The 22,348-nt window shown below is 36.7% G+C and overlaps 1 protein-coding gene across 3 annotated transcripts in view, besides 2 other annotated features; it reads right to left on the bottom strand.

Moving 5' to 3' along the window:
* The window catches only part of STT3B (STT3 oligosaccharyltransferase complex catalytic subunit B), a 104,692-nt gene that overhangs the window by 69,486 nt on the left and 12,858 nt on the right, over positions 1 to 22,348 (bottom strand). The gene's annotated exons all lie outside the window — the stretch shown is intronic.
* Positions 6,192 to 6,361: an enhancer, noted in NCBI's record as "experimental_69549 CRE fragment used in MPRA reporter constructs". NCBI's record gives its function as "activates a minimal promoter by MPRAs in K562 erythroleukemia cells, with activity observed for the introgressed 3:31603347 variant allele {active_cell/tissue: K562}" and the evidence as "EXISTENCE:reporter gene assay evidence [ECO:0000049][PMID:34662402]".
* Positions 20,527 to 20,696: an enhancer, noted in NCBI's record as "experimental_69540 CRE fragment used in MPRA reporter constructs". NCBI's record gives its function as "activates a minimal promoter by MPRAs in K562 erythroleukemia cells, with activity observed for both the introgressed and non-introgressed 3:31589012 variant alleles {active_cell/tissue: K562}" and the evidence as "EXISTENCE:reporter gene assay evidence [ECO:0000049][PMID:34662402]".

The raw sequence follows: 22,348 nt of genomic DNA, 5'->3' as shown, positions 1-22,348 counted from the left end.
AAGCCAGGCATGGAAGGACGAATTTTACATGTTATATCTCATATGTGAGAGCTAAAAATTAACACAATTGAACTCATGGAGATAGAGAGCAGAATGATGATTACCAGAGGCTGGGAAGGGTGGTAGAGAGGGGGGCAAAATGTGGGGAGGGGTAACGGATACAAAAATATACTTAGGATGAATAAGATCTAGTATTTAAGAAAAAAGATCTGGTATTTGATAGCACAACAAATAATTTAGCACATATTTTAAAATAACTAAAAGATTGGAATTGAAATGTTTCTAAAACAAAGAAATGATAAATGCGTGAGGTGATGACTATGCCAATTACCTGGATTTGACTTCTACACATTGTATGCCTGTACCAAAACATCACATATAACCCATAAATAGATAAATCTATTATGTACCCATAATTATAAAAAATTAAAAATTATATCTCAGCCTTAAAATTAACCTAAGGCTTTTATATCTTCAAAACAAATTTTGAGGTGGCAAAGGGTTTCGTATGTTTAATTAACATTTTCAGTCCTCATTAAAAGTGACACCGTATCAGAAAGAAATATTAATAATTAGAAATGCCTAAGAATAAATTAAGTGGAAGAACAATATATTGTTAGCCATAATGCTGTGGCCACAATGAGCGACAAACATGTCCCACATTCCAAAAATGTTCAGTTCACAAATGTAATTTTAACAAGACAACACAAATCTGGTTTAGTTTAACCTTTGCAAATTAAATCCAACAAACAGAAAAGAATCAATCAGGAACAGAAAGAAAATAAGAAAAGGGAGGAAAGAAGCTTTGATCAATGATGGTGATAAAAGAACAGCAAATATTAGTAGTAAAGGAGGGTAAAGAGGTGCAGCAAAAGGCAGCGAGGTGGAGCACTGTACCAAGTATTACATTTCAACACAGTGCCCCCTTAAGGCCAGGCAAAGCCAGGGTCCTAATTTGCTCTGAGTTGAGAAACAGGTTAACTAAAGTTTCTATCTATCAAAATAACCACACATAGACTCCAAGTGAGGGCTCAGGGTTGTCTCCCATGGATAGAGAGAGCATAATGACAGTTTGACAGCACAGCTTTAAGAGAATCCCAGGAAGTCTTGCATGACAAGATATTAGAAAAATGTGCCTCTAAAGGTGGTTATTCTATATCTGACATTGATTTGTTTTCATTTTTACAAGGTAATAATCATGTTTTCAAAAAACTCCTTGAGCAACCATAGTGTACCAGGTTTCTGTTAGGCACTGGAAATAGAGCACTGGAAAGACAGGCAAATTCTGCTCTTTTGGAACTTAAATACAATAAACACAAACCAGGTAATTACAGTTTGAAACAAGAGCTGGGGGGAGTAGAGGAGAAAAGATTCAGATAAATAAAAGAGTAAAATGGGAAGAAGGGAAGGAGGAAGGGGTAGAGATTGCTGTAAGCAGGGTATAAATGAGGTCCTATCTTAAAACATCTGTGAAGTCTTTAAGGATGGGGGTAACCAGCAATTCAAAGAGTTAAAGAGCTGTCCTAGGCAAAGAAACTATCAAGTGCAAAGGCCTTGAGGTGGAGAAATGGTGTGCTGAAGGAAGAAAAAGATGTTCAAGAAGGGGAGTGGTAATTTATGTTGTGTACACTACTTCTGCACAATTATTGTTTTAAAAAAACATGTCAGACACTATGATCCTATTTTTCATTTAATCATCACACACATACACACTCCTTTGCGGCAGGACACTACACATATGATTAGACTAAGGCACAATATGTAACATAAGTTGTCCAAAGTCACACAGCCATGAAGTGGTCAAGATGGGATTTGATCAAGGTAGCTTTGACTCTGGTGCCCACATTCTTAAGCATGATCACAAGGTGATTCCAAACAGCAACAGGGCAATTAATGCAGGTAAATCATTTGTATCACCTTCTGGGCACTGCGAACCTTAAAGATTTCAAACTGTTCCCAGTATCTCAGGGATTCCAGACAAGAGTGGGGTACCAGAATGGACACACAGTTTTGAATGACATATGGTACCATCTTATATAACCTTACCTATTTGTCTATTTATATATGGGGCTTTTGTACAAACTCATTTGAAGAAAGGATTCAAATGCTAAACAAGTATTTGAAAACAATGGCATGCGTATCTATAGATCTATATCTATATATGTTTAAAATATCTAAAACAAAAACCACTGGTGTAGTTCTCTTAAGATCTGTTAAGATGCAACTTTGAACCTTAAAGCTTATGCCCTTTCTAAAGTTACTTTGGAAATAAAAGGACAGAGAAGTCTAATATATGTCTGACTGTACCATTTCAGATTTCAATTCTTTGGTATAGGTATGTCTTAAAAAATCATGGCCAGAAACCTTTATTAAGTACTGCTTGACCAGTAACAACCATCCTCACTCACCACCTTACAAGGGTCATACATAATTGTTGGTTTTACCAAACAAATCCTCCAATAAGTGTGACTATCACAAAGAAACAAAGCCAAGTAGTCCCTATCTCTAGCTCACATTTCTCTCCTTTTTGGCACCTTTCTCATACTTCTTATATTAACCAATTCAACCACTGTCAATCTTCAGATAACTGAACTCTTCTCAGTAAGCTATAATTTGTCATCTTTACTTCTCCGAAGTTTAGTTCTTACAAGGTTATGAGTAAGTATGTGTACACTTCATTATCAAAAAAATGTACAACAACTCCTTCCTCTTTCAACCAACAAATGCTTATTTTATCTCAATCCCTCCTCTGATCACAGCCAAGTTTGTCACATAATGTTACACAACTACTTGGGAGATTGTCCAATGAGAAATATAATGTCTGCCTGCTATCATTTGAATAGTAAGTGTAACAAAAAGAATGAAGAAATGGAAAAGCATTTGTTCTCACATAATTTTTCCTTCCTGCTTTTACAACTCTGAGATATAAAAACAAGAAACAGGAATTTCTATTTGGTCTAAAAAGGCCAGTTCATCTTTGTAATACACGTTATACATGGATCAACAACTAATCTGAGAGAAAGCAAAGTACCAATTTCTCATGAAAAAGAAAGAATGAGAGAATGCAAGGAAGGAAAGAAGACAGGCAGGCATGTTAAAAGGTTAAGCCTATTGTTTCTATTGTCCATTATTTGCAACATCTTCCAAGAGATACAGAACTTCCATTATTATCACCATAATTATTATATATTGGTATTTTGATTTGAATAAATTATTTATGGGATTTAAAGTTTAACAATTGGTTCGGAATCTCTTCCTCTTTCTGGTCATCAGGTACTTTCTAATCCCCCAGGAATTTAAAGTATGATTGTTTCTCTTCTTTCACTGAAATTAAAAAATCTCATTTTACTTTTTATTGGCAATCCTTCCTTTATACGTAACCCTGATGAACTTTGCACCTTGCATTCTACCTTTTCCAATCTAATATACGAAATAGCATTGATTTACAGATTTGTCTCCTCCACTGGATTGGAAGGTCCTTGAGAAAAGAAACCCCCAGCCTAAGAGAATAATGAAAACAACAAAATCAATAAATTGTTAACATTTTATGAGTGGTTATTATGCCTTAAATACCTTTGTTATTAATAATTTGATCTTTATGACAACTTATTGAGATGTATATTATTGTCATTCCCTATTTACAGATGAGAAGATGGAAGCACAAAGAGGTTAAGTAACCTGCTCTTACTCAAGGTTAGACAAGTCAAAGCAGCAAAGCCAGGGGTCTATTTCACATCATTTTGCCTCTGGGCAAATATGAAGGAATCAATCTTCCAACTCCTAGCACCAAGGACGGTGCCTGGTATATATAGTAAAGTTAATAAAATATGTGTTAAAGCTCCTCTGAACTATTTTATATATGACCCAATTTTAAAGCATTTTTACACAACTGTCGCCCGAGCAAAGTGATTTAGTGCCAGTGTGAGGTTGTAAATGATGTGAAATGTTTAAACATTCCCACTTTACTAAGGTAAACTATTTTTTTTATATAGAAATATACTATTCAGATAGAGGGCACTAAAATAGTGTAACTGGTTTAATTAAATTTTCATTCAGGGAATACTCCCGTATACTTGATATTCAATGCTGTTTGGGTCCCGGTTCATGTTCTGGCCTCTGAAGTCTTTCATCAACAGTCACTCACAGAACCATTTAGTATTGTATACAGAAACGGAAAACACCTGCTGCAGTCAGCTACTCGGGAGGCTGAGGCAGAAGAATTGCTTGAACCCGGGAGGTGGAGGTTGCAGTGAGCCAAGATCGCGCCCACTACACTCCAGCCTGGGTGACAGAGCAAGACTCCATCTCAAAAAAAACGTCTGAATAAGGGTCTAATTTCCACAATTACCAATTTCAGCACTTGTTCTGGCTCTATCCTAACACTATTCACACCACTTTTCTAACTCTATCCTGGCCACAGGGGCATTATATCTGTTCCTTCAACATATCAACTTTTTATCTGCTAAGAGGAATGCTCTTAACCCAGATCTTTGCAGGGCCCTAATTCCTTGTCATTCTGATTTTAGTTCAAATATTATCTCAGAAAGGCCTTCTTTCACTTCTCAATCTACAGTAGTGGCCCCATAGCCATGGTCTACAAACACATCAAACACTAGTTAGCATATTACTTTTTTAATAGCCTTTATCACTAACTAAAATTATCTTGATCTTTTTATTTACTTGTTTGCTTGCCTATCTGAAAAATAAGCTCCATCACAACAAAGATCCTTGTATATATCCCAAATGCTTAGTACTGTGTCTGGCACATAGTTATCACACAATAAATATTTGTTAAATGACTGAATGTTAAAGGCACTCACCATGCATACTAAAATAATTTGCTCTACTAGTTTAGATAAGCAATCAAAACCAATAAAAATCAATGCTGAAGATAGTTGACTAGATGTATCTGGTACTTGTCTCATCTATGGAGAGGAACCACAATAGCGAGTAAAAAAGATCACCTGAGAGAGAACAATGAAATTCAAGAGAGTAGTGATGGGAAGCATCAAAAGCAAGGAAAAAGAGGGAAACAAGCCTGTTCGGCTGGGATCAGGTAGGAGGCTGGAGTGGCTTATAATGCAGAAAAAGGGTGAGAGACCCCCTAAGGTCTACATTCCCACTGGAACCACTAGGACTCCTAAAATCCTAGCCACAGGAGAGCTCCTTGACCCTCTCAGGTCCCAAGACTAACAGGGAGCTGCCTGAAGTCCACGCGAAAGCACTGCTCCAGAGAGACAGCTCATGCTGGATCCCACGAATCACTCGAACCTAAGCAGCTACAACATGGTGCCATTTTGAGAACACAGGCCCCATTAAACTGCATCCTGCTGCCAGGGCCACTACAAGGCAGCGATACTGCCCACCCCAGCAGAGGGCGACTGTGAATTTTTACCTGCGCTAAGGACAAATTCCATTGCTTACAGCCACTTGAGGGCTGCAGGCTGCTGCAGAGCCAAGGCAGGAAACCCATGCCCCGCCCCCAAGTTGCCAGCCTACAGCTACTCTGAAGGAAAGCAACCCCACCTTCCCTAGTAGAGCAGGGTTGCAATGCAGTTGCTGCTGGCCCCTCCTGAGCATTCCACCCACAAACTGGGGATCACCCCTCCCTTGCCTACCACTGCCAGCCGGTCCACCCAGCTAGCTCCATACCCCCACCAAAGCAAGTACCCAAACACACAATCCAAGGTGTGGATGATCTCTGGTGATCACCTCACTAAGTCCACCACCAGTGACACCTGAACACTACTCCCAGGGTCTGAGGTCAGGCCCACTTAACCTGCCACTACCAGCAGAGCTAGGACCCATACTCATGCATCACCTGCAGGTCTGGGGACCAGCCCACACAACTCATTGCAGCCACCACAATACCAGCACAGACACTTAGGTTCCAGGGAGTTGTCCACCGCTGCTACTGCAATCACCCATGCTACACCTGCTGCCCAGGGGCTCGAGAAGCTGCCCTCCCCTGCATGACCCACCACTGGAATCCCAGCACCTAAGCAGGCCACCTGGAGGCCTAAAATCAGCCTGGATGCACGAACGCTGTCACTGGCATAAGCTGCCCTCGGGCCAAAACACTGAGGGGATGCTCAGTTCACTGCTGCCACCACTGGGTCCAAAAGACTGTTACACCTGGTATCCCTGACCCCATCAAAACTTCACCACAGCCTCCACTAACAACCACATCTTAAGCCCCTGGGGAAATCACAGACACACTAATGCTGTTTACAGAAAAAAAGAAAATCATATGGAGACTACACACTACCACACACACACAGAATCAATACCAAAGTGCCATATCCAACCAACACCATACATATATCTTCAGGAAAAAATTCTCTCCAACAAAAGCAATGTCAAAAAATGCCATTACACCAGATGTGCAGATACCAAAGTAAAAACACAGGAAACATAAAAAAGAAAATATGATACACCTCCAAAAGAACACAGTAATTATCCAGCAACAGATCCCAATCAAAAAAATAAATTCACAACAAACTCATGGACACAGGGAGTAGAAAGATGGTTAACAGGGGCTGGGAAGAGTAGTTGGGGGTTTGGTGGGGAGGTGGGGATGGTTAAATGGGCACACACAAAAAAATTCCAGCACGAATGAATAAGACCTATTTGATAGCACAATAGGGTGACTATGGTCAATAATAACCTAACTGTATATTTTAAAAAAAAGAATGTAATTGGATTGTTTGTAACTTAAATGATAAATGCTTGAGGGGACAGATACCCCATTCTCCATGATGTGCTTATTTCACATTGTAAGTCTATATCAAAATATCTCACGTATCCCATAAATATACATACTTATCATGTACCCATAAAATTTTTTTAAAAAATAAAAAATTTTGAAAAAAAAAGAAATTCACAAAATCCCAGAAAAAGAACTCAAATTATTTATTCTAAAAAAACTCAGTAGGATACAAGAGAATTCTGAAAAACAATATAAAGAAATCAGAAAAACAATTCAGGATATGAATGAGAAATTTACTCAAGAGGTAGATATCATAAAAAAGAACCAAACAGAAATTCTAGAACATAAGAATTCATTGAATGAAATAAAAAATATATATGAAACCTTCAATGACAGACTAGATGGGGCAGAAGAAAACTCTCAGAACTTAGACAAGTCTTTTGAAATAACCTAGTCAGACAAAAATAAAGAAATAAATTTTAAAAACATGAACAAAGTCTTCATAAAAGACAACAGAAAGTGAACAAATATTAAAATTTTCAGTGTCCTAGAAGGTGAAGAGAAAACAAAAGATTTTAAAAGCCTATGTAACAAAATAATAGATGAAAACTTCCCAAGTCTAGCAAGAGATTTGGACATCCAGAGACACAAGGCTCAGAAATCTGCAAACAGATACAATGCAAAATGTTCTATCCACAATACATTACAGTCAAACTGTCAAAAGTCAAACATAAGGAGAGAATTCCACAAACAGCAAGAGAAAAGAGTCTAGTCACTTATAAAGAAACCCCCATAAGACTAATAAAAGATTTCTTAGCAGAAACTTATAGGCCAGGAAAGAAAGGGATAATGTATTGAAAGTGCTGAAAGAAAAAAAAATTGCTAATGATACTATATCCAGCAAATTATCCTTCATAAATGAAGGAGAAATAAAATATTTTCCAGACAAGCAAAAGCTAAGGAAATTCATAATCACTACACTAGCCTACAAGAAATGCTCAAGGGAGTACTTAATCTGGAAGTGAAAGGACAATATCTACTACCATGAAAACACACAAAAATATAAAAACCACTGGCAAAGCAACACACACACAAAGAAAAGACTCAAATGTTACCACTACTACAGAAAACCACCAAACCACAAAGATAAATTATGAGAGAAAGAACAGAACAAAATAACCAGAAATCAATTAATAAAATGACAGGAATAAACCCCCACATATTAATAATAATCCTGAATGTAAATGGATTAAACTTTCCACTTAAAAGATATACACTGGCTGAATGAATTAAAAAAATAAAAGACCCAACTATATGCTGCCTACAAGAAACTTATCTCACCTGTGAAGACACATATAGACTGAAAGTAAAGGGAAATAAATTCAGATATTCAATGCAAATGGAAACCAAAAGTGAGCACGAGTACCTACACTTAGATAAAGCAGGCTTTAAGTCAAAAAACAGTAAAAAGAGACAAAGAAGGTAATTATATAATGATAAGTGGATTCAACTAGAAGAAATAACAATTCTAAACATATACGCACCCAACACTGGAACACCCAGATATATAAAGCAAATATTACTAGATTTAATGGAAGAGATATATTCCAATACAATAATAGTTGGGGACTTTTAACAATCCACTCTCACCATCAGATAGATCATGTAGACAAAGTTACCAAAGAAACACTGGATTTAAACTGCACATTAGACAAAATGTACTTGACATGAACATTTCATTCAACAGCTACAGAATACACATTATTCTGATTAGCACAAGAAACATTCTCCAGGATAGACCATACAATAGAACACAAAACAAGTCTTAACGAATTAAAAAAGAAACAATATCAAGTATCTTCTCAGACCACAACAAAATAAAATGAGAAATCAATAACAAGAGGAACCTTGAAAACTGTACAAATACATGGAACTTAAACAACATGCTCCCAAATGGCCACTGGGTGAAGGAAAAAATTTTAAAGGAGAAAATAAAAAAAATTTCTTGGAACAAACAAAAATCTAAACATGACATACCCAAACCTATAAGAAACAGCAAAAACCATGCTAAGTTTATAGCAATAAACAACACCTACATAAAAAAAAAAATACAAAGACTCCAAATAAGCAATCTAATAATGCACCTCAAGGAGCTAGAAAAGAACAAACCAAACCCCAAATCAGAAGCAAAGAAATCATGAAAATCAGAGCAGAACTAAATGAAAGAGACAACACACACACACACACACACACACACACACACACACACACACACCCCAAGAATCAATGAAACAAAAACAAAAAGTTGGTTCTTTTGAAAAGATTTAAAAAAAAAAAAACCAATAAGGCACTTCCTAGACTAACCAAGAAAAAAGAGAAAGACCCAACTATAATCAGAAATGAAAACAAAGACACTACAAATTAGTACCACAGAAATACAAAAGATCATCAGAGACTACTACGAACAACTATCTAGAGAACCTACAGGAAACTGATAAATTTCTGGATAAGCATAACCTATCAAGATTGAATCAAGAATAAATTAAAAAAAAAAAAAACCTGAACAGACCAATAAATGAGTAATGATACAGAATTAGTAATAGAAGTTCTCCCAACAAAAAATGTCCAGGAATTGATGGCTTCACTGTCAAATTTTACCAAACTTTCAAGGAAAAACACACATCTATTCTCCTCAAACTATTCCAAACAACTGAAGGGGAGGGAATTCTCCTTAACTTTTTCTATGAGGCATTACCCAGATACCAAAACTAGACAAGGATACTACAACTGGCTAAAAGCCAATATCCTTGATGAACACAGATGCAAAATTTCTCAACAAAATCCAACAGTACATCAAAAAGATAATACACCATGATGAAATGGGTTTATACCAGGGAAGCAAGGATGATTCGACAGACACAAATCAATAAATATGATACATCACTTCAAGAAAATGAAGACAAAAACCCTATGATCATCTCAATAAGGAGAAAACATTTGATTTTTTAATTTTGAACTTAATCTTGAATTTGCAAGATCCCTTCATGATAAAAGCTCTCAGACTATGCATAAAACACACCTCAAAATAATAAACGCCATATATGACAAACCCAGAGCTAACATCATGCTGAATTAAGAAAAGTTGAAAGCCTTTCCACAAAGAACTAGAAAACAAGGATATCTACTTTCACCATTCCTATTCAACATACTACTGGATATCCTAGCCAGAGCAATCAGGTAAGAGGACAAAAGTAAAAGGCATCCAAATTGAAAAAGAGAAAGCTAAACTGTCCCACTTTGCATATCACCTGATCTTATATTTGGAAAAACCAAAAGACTCTGCCAAAAAACTCTTAGAGCTAATAAGCAAATTCAGTAAAGTTGCAGGATACGAAATCGACATATAAAAATCATGTACTGATTCATTTTTATATGTCAATGACAAACTAGCTGAGAAAGAAATCAGGAAAGCAATCCCATTTACAATAGATATAAAAAATACAGTGGCTCACGCCTGTAATCCCAACACTTTGGGAGGCTGAGGCGGGCGGATCACGAGGTCAGGAGATCAAGACCATCCTAGCTAACAGTGAAACCCTGTCTCTACTAAAAATGTGAAAAATTAGCCAGGCATGGTGGCGGGCGCCTGTGGTCCCAGCTACTCGGGAGGCCGAGGCAGGACAATGGTGTGAACCCGGGAGGCGGAGCTTGCAGTGAGCCGAGACTGCGCCACTGCACTCCAGCCTGGGCAACAGAGCAAGACTCCGTCTCAAAAAAATAAATAAACAAATAAAAATAAAAATATATATACCTAGAAATAAATTTAACAAAGGAAGTGAAAGATCTCTATAAGGAAAACTACGCAACAATGATAAAAGAATTAAAGGGACACAAACAAATGGAAAGACATCCCATGCCCATGGATCGGAAATATTAGTATTGTTAAAATGAGCATACTGCCCAAAGCAGTATACATACAGATTGAACACAAGCCCTATCAAAATACCAATGTCATTTGTTACAGAAATAGAAAAAACAGTCCTGAAATTAATAAAGAACCAAGGAAGAGTGAGAATAGCCAAAGCAACCATGAGCAAAAAGAACAAAGCTGGAGGCCAAACTACCTGATTTTATAAGACTACAGTAACCCAAACAGCATGGTTTTAGTATAAAAAGACACAGACCAATGGCACAGAACAGAGAATCCAAAAGTAAATCCACATATTTACAGCCAACTGATTTTCAACGAAGGCTTCAAGAACGAACACTGGGGAAAGGACATAGTCTTCAATACATGGTGCTGGGAAAATTGGATATCGATATGTAGAAAAATGAAACTGGACCTCTATCTCTCTCCCTTTATGCAAAATTAACTCAAGATGGATTAAAGGCTTAAACATAAGATCCCAAACTATAAAAGTAGAAGAAAACAATAAAAAACCACTTTAGGATAATGGTCAAGGCAAAGATTTTATGCTAAGACCTTAAATGCACAGAAAACAAAAACAAAAAGAGACAAATGGCACTGTATTAAACCAAAAAACTCTGCACAGCAAAGGAAATAATCAACAGAGTGAAGACACAACCTACTGAAAGACAGAATATACTGTAAACTATTCATTCAACAAGGGACTAATATGCAGAACCTAGAAAGAACTCACACAACAGTAAATCATCATCATCATCACATTAATAAGCAAAGGACATGAACAGATATTTCTCAAAAGAAGACATACAAATGGCCAAGAAGCATATGAAAAAATGTTCAACGTCACTAATCATCAGAGAAATGCAAATAAAAATCACAATTAGGTATCATCTTACCCAAGTTAGAATGGCTATTATTGAAAAAGACAATAACAAATGCTGACAAGGGTGCAGAGAAAACAGAACTCTTATACATTGCTTTGGGAACATAAATTATATGGCCACTTGGAAAAGAGTGTGGAGATTTCTCCAAAAACTAAAAATAGAACTACCATATAATCCAGCAACCCCACTACTGGGTATTTATCCAAAGGAGAAGAAATTAGTACATCAAAGGGACACGTGCGTTCACACGTTTACTACAGCACTATTCACAACAGCGAAGATGCAGAATCAACCTAGGAGTCCATCAACAGACAAATGAATAAAGGAAGTGTGGTATATAAGCACAATGGAATATTATTTGGCCATAAAAAGAATAAAAGTATGTCATCTGCAGCAACATGGATGGAACTGGAGTCATTATGTTAAGTAAAATAAGCCAGACACTGAAAGACAAATTTCACAGTTCTCACTCATTCGTGGGAACGGAAAAAAAAAAAAAGTTGATCTCAGTGAGGTAGACAGATACCAGAGGCTAGGCAAAGTATGGTGGATAGGAGAGAAGCAGAGATGAAGAGAGATTGGTCAATGGGTACAAAAATACTGTTAGATACAAGGCATAAATTCTAATGTTGTATAGCAGAGTAGGGTGACCATAGCTAGCAACAATTTACTATGTATTTCAAAGTAGCTAAAAGAGAGAACTTGAAATGTTCCCAACACGTAGAAATAATAAATACTCAAGATGGATACCCCTAAATAACTTGACTGGATCATTACACATTCTATGTATGCTACAAAATATGATATGTACACCATTAAATATGTAAAATATTATATATCAATAAAATAAAGTGATGTTAACTAATGTTTAAGATTCTGAGACCTTTAAGGGTGTCCTAGTTTATCACTTTTCTGGTTCCACAAAAATACATAATAAAACAAAGATAATGTAAAAAGACTAAAGAACAAGACAAGTATAAATAAGTTGAGATTGGATAAAACACACAAATATTTAAGTAATAAGGGCCTATGATTCAAATGTGTAATGTGACTTAGTTTCCCAGCAATCAGGGCCAAAACAGAGAAGCAGGAGTAACAGAACTATCAAGGAGAAAAAGAAAGAAACGCTATTTCCTTAATCAAATTAAGTTTTGATTAAGTGTATCAACATCTAACAGTGTTCTTAAAATAGAATACAGATATCAAAATGCAGACTCATGAATTTTCTTTAAATATAAAGCTTATCCTAACAATTTTTTGCAAGAATCATGTTATTTTTATCTTTTCATAGGTTTTTATAGCTAGGAACCACCTCAAGAATAACAAGAGGATTTGAAATAGAGGCAGCACAGAGTAAGTGAGCAGGTGACAGGATATGCATGCAGCCACACAGTTTTAGATTTTGGCATTCCTAAACATCTTGCCAAGAAGGATATATATTCCCCACAAAATTGGTACTATAATTGAGAACAAGTATATTCTAACCAGAGGTTGCAAAACAAAAACCAGGTATGCTGATGGGAATATTTCTTTTTCATCATTCTTATATGTCTGGAATGGTTTGGAACACAGAGGCAGAGAGGCCAGTCAGTGGAATCCAGTAATTATGATCCAGTTCTGCACCCAAGAAGGTCAAAAAGAGAGTAAAAACAATCATGAAGAAAACAGACCCAACAAACATATCAAATACATACTGATGGTCAATATAGGTAAACAATCACTATAGAATAAATTCTTGTTGACTTTAGGGCTGTTATGTTTCTTAAAGTTGGCAAAACCAGCAGCTGGCAAAATAAAAATCTTAGAGAAAATAGAGGTAAAGGCAGGGTTTTTAATCTTTCTGGGTGAGGGTCTGTAAGAATCTGATGAAAATATGGATTCTCTTACCAGAAAAGAGTGCATAAAAGTTTTGCAGAATTTCAAAATTATTTTTTAGAAGACCTCCAACATAAATCACAATAAAAAGCCATCTACTTGATGAATAAATTAAAACTCACCAGCACTGAAAAATCTGCTCTGAGTTACCTTCTTAAAGTTTCAGAGAAATTACACCTTGGAGCTGCTGACGCGGTTTTGGGAAATTCAGACTATCTACACACTTATCTTTCAAGTTTTTGACACGGCCATTAAATCATTTAAAATTTAGTATTATTTTCATCAGGGAAAACAAAACAGCAAAACAAAAACAAACAACAACAACGAGAGATAGTACTAGTTAGACAAAAAGCTATGTAACCACCTGGTTCTTTTTCAAATTACTCTGGTGTTTAAGGGCTTTTGATCAAAAAGATTAAATGACCAAGGCTCATTTTTTCCATTGGCTCAAAAAGTTAAGAACTGGCAGGAAGGGATTCACAAGAAAACAAGATTAATATTGAGTTTTCATTTTTTTAAGGAGAATAAAATAAACCACAATTTGTTTCTTAAAATCTGATTTTTAAACTTTGGTTTACAAATATAGCACTGTGCTATCTCAAACTGTGGTTGGCAAAATTGTAGTTGGAGCAAGACTACTCTACCAACACTTAAACAGATGTCTTTTGTGAATCCTAGAACAGAAAAAGCTAGAAGCTACATAAAGAAAAACACTGAATGTAAGATTCTGTAATAATGCAAATATTTTTCTTAAAAATGCAGCCATAAAATATGGATATAATCTATGAATAGATTATAGATCTCAAATAACTATTCACTTCAGGGCCAATAAACTTGGGCATTCTGCATACAAGTACACAATTCTAAGAACCACAGGCAAACTTGGTCCCTGACCTCACAGAGCTGACAATCTCACAGGAGGAAGAGGCAACAAGAAAATATAATTAAGCAGAGAACCCAGGGGGTACTAAAGGATACCTTCTTCGCTCATTTTTTTTCATTTTTAAAATCTAAAGTATAATTTAGATGCTTTAAAATACACCAATTGACATGTTTCATTAGATGAGGTTTGACAACTGTATGCATAACATCACCCTCATGATGAAAGTTCCCACATGCACCTTTAGGCACTTCTTTCCAAGCATACTTTGACTTCTTTCACCATAGATTCATTATGTTTGTTCTCGGATTTCAGATAAATGGAATAATCGTAATTCTACTTTTTAAAAAGGTGAATCAGGCTTCTTTCATTTAACATGTTTTTGAGATATATTCATATACCAACAGTTTATTCTTTTTTACTGCTGAGTAGTATTCCATTTAATGCATACTACAATCCATTCCCCTTCTGAAGGGCATTTGGGTTGTTTCCGGGGGAGGAAATAATAAGGCTGTACATTCATTCTTATAAAATATGAACAAGCATTCTTGTAAAAGCCTTTTTTAAGGACACAGGTTTTCACTTCTTTGGGTGAATACTTAGCAATTCCACTCCAAAGTTATATAGTAGACACGTATTTAAGAAATACTAAACAGTTCTCCAAAATAGTTACCATTTACACTCCCATCAGCAATGTACAGGAGTTCCAGTTCCTCCCTATCAAGTTTTATTTGGTTTTTTTTTTTTTTTTTTGAGACGGAGTTTCGCTCTGTCGCCCAGGCTGGAGTGCAGTGGCGCGATCTCGACTCACTGCAAGCTCCGCCTCCCGGGTTCACGCCATTCTCCTGCCTCAGCCTCCCGTGTAGCTGGGACTACAGGCACGCGCCACCATGCCCGGCTAATTTTTGTATTTTTAGTAGAGACGGGGTTTCACCGTGTTAGCCAGGATGGTCTCGATCTCCTGACCTCGTGATCCGCCCGTCTCGGCCTCCCAAAGTGCTGGGATTACAGGCGTGAGCCACCGTGCCCGGCCTTATTTGGTTTTAAGAGCCTATCTTATGTATCACACTGGGTGCTAAAGATACTAGCAAACAGGACGGACCTGTCCTCACAAAGCTTACTGTCCAAAGGACTCGTGGATGGCTTCTACAACTGACATCTAACTTAAACCTGGATGAATTATTGAGCAAAAAGGCAGGAAAAGAGGAGAAGTGTTCTTGAGAGAGGAAAGAACACTCGTAAGGGTTAAAAAATACACATAGGTAGTTTTCATAATGCTAACAGAAAATAAAGATAGAACAAGTTTTGTGATGGCAGAAATATGCTTTAAAAAAAAAGGTAAGAAAGCAATGTAGTAAGTATAAGTTTTTAAAAGTCAAATAAGGATTCCTAAAAAGACAATGTGTTTAGTTTATCTCCCTATTATAAGCTCTCATTGTATCATGTTCCTTGACAGCATTGGTCATTCTTACTGGTTCAAGTCTAACTCCCTCACTAAACTAGAATCATGTCTATTTGGGTTCACACTACTGTAGCCATAGTCCCTGGCAAGTAAGAGGTATTCAATCAATATTTTTTGATTACATGAGATCAGAGAGAAGTTAGGTAGTAACATTCAGAGATGGAAAGAAAGGTTTACGAAGGGTATTTGTATTAGTTTCCTATTGCTTATACAGCAATTTTAAACAAACTCAGTGGCTTAAACCAACATATACTAATTCTATCATAGCTTCATGGGTCAGGAATCTAGGCACAGTTTAGCTGGATCTTCTGTTTAGGGTCGCACAAGGTTGACATCAGGATGTCACCAGGGTTGGGTTCTTATGTGGAGGCTAAATTAGGGAAATAATCTGCTTCCAAGCTCACTCAGGCTTCTAGCAGAATTCACTTCCTTGAGGTTATAGGACTGAGGGGCCCTGGTTTCTTCCTGGCTGTTGGTGGAAACATCATAGAGGCTGTTAGTAGTTCCTTGCCACATAGGCTTCCCTAACAGGGCTGCTTATCTTATAATGCCAGCAAGGAGTCTCTGGTGCAAGTCTACTGGTAAGACAAAGTTTTACACAACGTCACATAATCACGGAAGCAACATCCCATCACCCTAGACTCTGTCTATCACTCTGTTCTTCAAAGACTATCAATTAACAGGCTCTCTTGAAAATAACCCTTTCTGTAAAGATTTACAAAGCCACCTATAACAGTTTGTTGTTACACATACGACTACCAAAACTGGCCAAGTTAACATGTATTCGTGGGAACGGTAAATGAGAAAGCGACTAGTACCACCAACAGAAATGACCAATTATGGATGCTAACGTAAGCATAAAAGAATCAGGAAAGAGGCCAGGCACAGTGGCTCATGCAGGTAATCCCAGCACTCTGAGAGGCCAAGGTGGGTGGATCACTTGAGCCCAGGAGTTCAAGACCAGCCTGGGCAACATGGCAAAACCTGTCTCTACCAGAAATTTTTCAAAATTAGCCAGGCGTGGTGGCATGCGCATGTAGTGCCAGCTACTTGAGAGGCTAAGGTGGGAGGATCATTTGAGCCTGGGAGGCGGAGGTTGTAGTGAGCCGAGATGACACCACTGCACTCCACTGTGGGTGACAGAACAAGACCCTATCAAAAACCAAACAAACAAACAAACAAACAAACAAAAAACACCCAAAAACCACAATCAGGAAATAAAGGAAAGGAGTACAATTCAACAAAGGGAGAAGAAAAATAGAAAAGTAAAAGGCAAAAGACAAAGTGTTAGAACACCTCAAGGATTATTCTATTCTTTCTCCTTTACCCTATTAGTAGGCCCTCTCAGGCTATATAAGGTACCAGATCTTTCTTATAGGACTAAGTACCACTATTTGCAACACTTCATATATACCCAAAATTCAGCACTAATAGGGACAGAGAACAACCAAGGTAAAGTACAAAGCAGCTAAGGCCAACTAAAGTTGGCATTTCAATCTACCTTTTATTGCTCCTGCCATCTAGTGGCAGGATCAAAAACAAAAGGATGCCAGACTGATGAACTCTATTAAAAGTAACACATGGAAAAAAAAAATCCCCCTTCAATAGAACGAAAAAAACAGCCTAAATTCAATCTCACCAAGTGATACACACGAGCACTGTCTAGATAATCACATTAAACATAGCCAATTTTATAACTTAAAATATGGAAACTCATGAGAGAGTTATGCTCAAGCCTAATATGATTACATAAATTCCTATCAGTGTTTAAGTAACAGCAGGAAAACAATGATAGAAATTCATAAGGATTACTAATGATATATGAGAATAACTTTTTTTACTAGGTTAACTCTGAAGGGAAAGACTCACAAATGTCATACCACCATAAATGTGACACTGTACAGTTGCAACTGGATCTCAGACTACTCTCACAAACCTCTCTCTCTGCTCTTGCAACTGATGGGTGGTCATTTTGATTGAAGCAGAGAGCATGTCATAAGCTTCAGATAACAAAGTACCTGTCTCTCTACTTTGAGCAACACAGAGAGAAAACCAAAGGTTGTTTAAAGGCTGCAAAAATGTCTTGAAGACTCCTTAGAGCTACTCTGCATCTTCCAATTTAAAGTCAGATGCATGTGCAAATCAAAAAAGAACACACAGGGCAAAACTTTTAAACACACATTAACTGAAAACAGGATTCCTATTTTAGTACCATCTCTTAATTTCTGCCTTAACTGGCAGTGACAGCTGTCAATTTTTATCAGTATCCATTTGAAAAAGGAGGGTCTATTCTGATTTATAAAGGACATTTACTAAACTAATTGGAAAAAAGAAAAAGCAACTGACAACAAAAAAAATTACAACAAAATAAGAGGCTGTTAGAGCATTTTAATGGCACTAAAAAAATCTGAAAAAAAAATCTAAGATCACATACAAAATAGTATATTTGATCAATTAAAACTATCCGGTGACACTTTGCTCAGCTAAGCCCAATAGAGATGGAAATCTAAATAATGTAGGCAGAAGGGATGGGCACAAGTGTTCTTTCTCTTTATATAACGCACGCACAACGTGTATAACATATATTTAAGTCCGGCATAACTATTCATATATTATAGAAACAAATCTCCAATAAATATTATATGTAAACATGTTATATTTACATTTCTTTATTGTTACTAGATATTATCTAAATTAGACATATGATTATGCATTATACTATATAAAGAGGATTTCTAACAATTATTAGATATAGAAATACATAATACACGTTTAAGTCAGACCCATAGTCATATACTATAAATATAAAATGTATAACTAACAAGCATTATCCATAGTAATAATATCCCATGGCCCACAAGTTGGTGTGATGAAAGAGCCAAAGTGGTTGGACAACTAATAAACTCATAAGCAAAATGACCAACTTTCTGAGGACAGTCTCGGTGGAAAGCAACAGCACAAGGTAAACTAAAATAAAACAATCACTCAAAATAAGCAATGTATACAGGCCTGAGAACTTAACTATCATAGAAGTTAGTGGTATAATACTCAACTTAGTCACCAAGACAAATCAGGAGAATCAGGGGGGATGCTATCAATGAGCAGATACTCAACTGTCCCATTTGAAAAAAAAAGTATGTTCCTAATGTGGATATACTTGTTCCTAATGCAGTAATTCAAATAAACAAATAAAAAGATTTAAAACACTGAAGAAAGTCAGTCCTAGTTTTATTATCTCTACGACTTTGGTAAAGTTACTTAGCCTTAGGCCTCAGGCTCCTCATCTATCAAATAAAACATCTACATCAGTCTTTTCCATGAATTGCATGGAACATTAATTAAAAAAAAATTAAAATCTTACAGTGATTCATAAATTAAATACGGTAAATACCAGATTAAATAAAATTAACAGTTAACTGAACAACTTCTTAAGACTGTAACATGGTAATGTGTATTGCATATCAGTATCAAAGAATGTAGTAAGCAGTTTTTTTCCCAAATTCAAATTATCAAAGATTATTTTGCTTAGAAGTGTAATTTCTGGAATATGTGGTCTGCAGAACATACTTTGGCAAAATAATAATTTCTTTGTGCTCGCCAGGTATGAAGTTTGTTCCATATTACAGGGAAACCAAAACTTATCTCCCTCAAAGGGGGGAAGGTTCTTCACCCCCTTTCCGAACAGAAAATATCAGCAAACTAATGACGGAGCAGAGAAAGAAGAGAATACAAGGAGAATAAATCAGTTTTCTCCTACCTTTAGAGACAGGTTGAGGAGAGGTGGTCAATACTGAACTATAGGGAAGCTTTACCATCCTTAACATATTTAAAATAACTTAAATTTCTGTAAAATAATAACATGCATTAAACTCCTCAGAGAATAGCATGTTTGGTATACTCTATTTTAAAATTTATTTTGAGAATACAAATGTTAAAAATACATTTATTAAATTTTAAATGGGCTCATTTTGTTCCCTATTTTACAAATGAGTCATTTGTAAAACAGGGAAAAAAATGGCTGTTTTTTTCTCCCCGGTTTCACAGAAACATTTTTTTTCCCTGTTTTAAATGGCTCATTTTCCCTGTGTTACTATGCTCAACCTGGTGAAATCTTTTTGCCAAACTACTTGACACTTATACTTTATCACAGTAACATTATATCAGCATTATTATAGCAAATATGTTATACTTTAGTTTACTTCTTAGGCAAGAATAACTACCTCTTTAAGACACTTAAAATGGAAGAATTCGGGGCAGGAAAGAATAAAAACAAATGAGGCTCAATCATGCAATGGCTGGAATCACCACTCCTGTTCCAACCAAACAGGAAGGTAAATGACCAAACATTACTTGGTCAAAAGTCTCAAGATGCTCTGCATTTCATTACATGTCCAAGAATCCTTCCACTAAGTATTATTATTTCCACTCTGTCTTTGAATATTAGATCCAAGAAATCTGAGGTGACATGAAAATAAGTCATGCTGCCTGAAGCACTGCTTTTACACTGCAGAGATATGCTGAGGTGCCTTCAACACATAGAATTTTAAGGATCAGAAACTATACTTTTACACAGAACAAATCTTCCTAATTTGAAGGTTGGGAAGAAGTGTCTACAAATTTATTGTCTTTTTGTACTTGTTCAGGCTGTTTTATCCAAAGCTTTGCATTTTGGAATTCAGAATTGTTCTGTGGCATTTCAGTTTAAACCAACTGAGTTGTACTTGATGCGTGCCTACAGCGTTCTTCTGAGATGGACTCTCGTTCTGTCATGCAGGTTGGAGTGCAGTGGCACGATCTCAGCTCACTGCAACTTCCGCCTCCAGGGTTCATGCAATTATTGTGACTCAGCCTCTCGAGTAGCTGGGATTACAGGCATGCACCACCATGCCCGGCTGATTTTTTGTATTTTTAGTAGAGACGGGGTTTCACCATATTGGCCAGACTGGTCTCGAACTCCTGACCTCAAGTGATCCTCCCAAAGTGTGGAAATGACAGGTGTGAGCCACCGCACCCGACCTGCAATGTTCTTTTTAAAGTATATAATGCAAACATTTGAATATTAATTATAAATCTCTGGCTTCTATTATAATTTTGCAAAATATTTCGCCACTACATTTAAGATGGATTTTGAATATGCTGGCAGAACCTGGTTGATCCAAACGAATAATTTAGGGAAAAAAAATTGAGGAATAAGGAGGGCAGATAAGACTAGAAAGAACTTGGGGCTGAACTTACTGCCTACTCTGTCACTCCAGGCAAGTCCTCTCACATCAAACGTCCTCAGTCCACTCATAGCAAAAGTCACAGTTACATAAAAATTTATAAGTAAATAAAAATACTTGTAAATTCTTCCAAGCCTCAATTATTTGGAGGGGAAGGGGTACAACAGGTAGGTTGAGCAAAGCATCATGCTGATTCATAATTGTACACCTTTGCAAATGCTATTCTTTGTAACAAAAATGTCACCCTGGAGGCTGACTTCAAGGCCTTTCCTTTTAACATACTAAGCAGTACTCTCTCATCTGTAAAATGGGGGCAATAAAATATCTAATAGGATTGCTTTAAGGACCAATTAGGCACAAACTGGAATAAGATATCTGCAACAAATTTAACCCAGACTTAGGATGCAAAATACATATACATATAACCTCCTACTAAATTAGTGAGACTAAACAACCCAGTCTAAAACTTTGGGAGAGACATGAACAGATATTTTACGGGAGATAAAAATGATAAACACATTGTGGTAAGTGTTTCCAAAGATGACCTTAAACAATTCTGCCCCTACCTGTATATGCATCTCCTCTCAACATTGAGCTAGGTCTGTGTGTATTTTGAGAACAACAAAATATAGCTGAAGTTACTTGTGTCTATTCCAAGCTTAACCCTTAGTTGACCTGGCAGCTTTCTCCCCCTTTGAAATGTTCTTTCTCAGAACCCCGCTGCAATGCTGAGGCAGACTAAGCAGTCACATGGAGGAGCCAAAAGCCCCAGCTGAGGTCCCAATGGAACAAGATTCCAGATGACTCTCAGCTGTCCAGGCATCCCAAACATTCTAGTCCCAGCTGACTACAGCCTATTGAGCCTCCAGGTGACTACAATCATCTCAGCACCTCAGCTGACACATGAAGCTGAAGGACTCCCCACTCAACCCACAAAATTGTGAAATAATAAAATGCTGTTTTGTCACTAAGTTTTGGAGTGGTATATTTTCATAAATAACTGAAGCATATTTTGACAAAATCCCACTCCCAGGTATATACCCCAGCAAACATCCACACATATGCATCAGAAAACAGTTTTAATGTTCATAGTAGCATGTTTCACAATAGAAAAAAAACTGGATATTCAAATGTCTGTCAACTAACAGATGTATAAATGAAAGTCAAAGAGGAGGATAAATAAGCTAATACCATTTTTTAAGCTCCAAACAAAGCAAAAATTAGCAATATATTGTTTTCACAGCAGGGGTGTCCAATCTTTCGGCTTCCCTGGGCCACAGTGGAAGAAGAATTGCCTTAGGCCACACATAAAATACACTAACGATAGCTGATGAGCTTAAAAAAAAAAAAAAAAAACCACTCCTAATGTTTTAAGAAAGTTTACAAAT

The sequence above is a fragment of the Homo sapiens genome, chromosome 3, assembly GCF_000001405.40.
Source record: "Homo sapiens chromosome 3, GRCh38.p14 Primary Assembly".
Taxonomy (NCBI): domain Eukaryota; kingdom Metazoa; phylum Chordata; class Mammalia; order Primates; family Hominidae; genus Homo; species Homo sapiens.
This window is presented reverse-complemented; position numbering and strand designations above follow the sequence as displayed.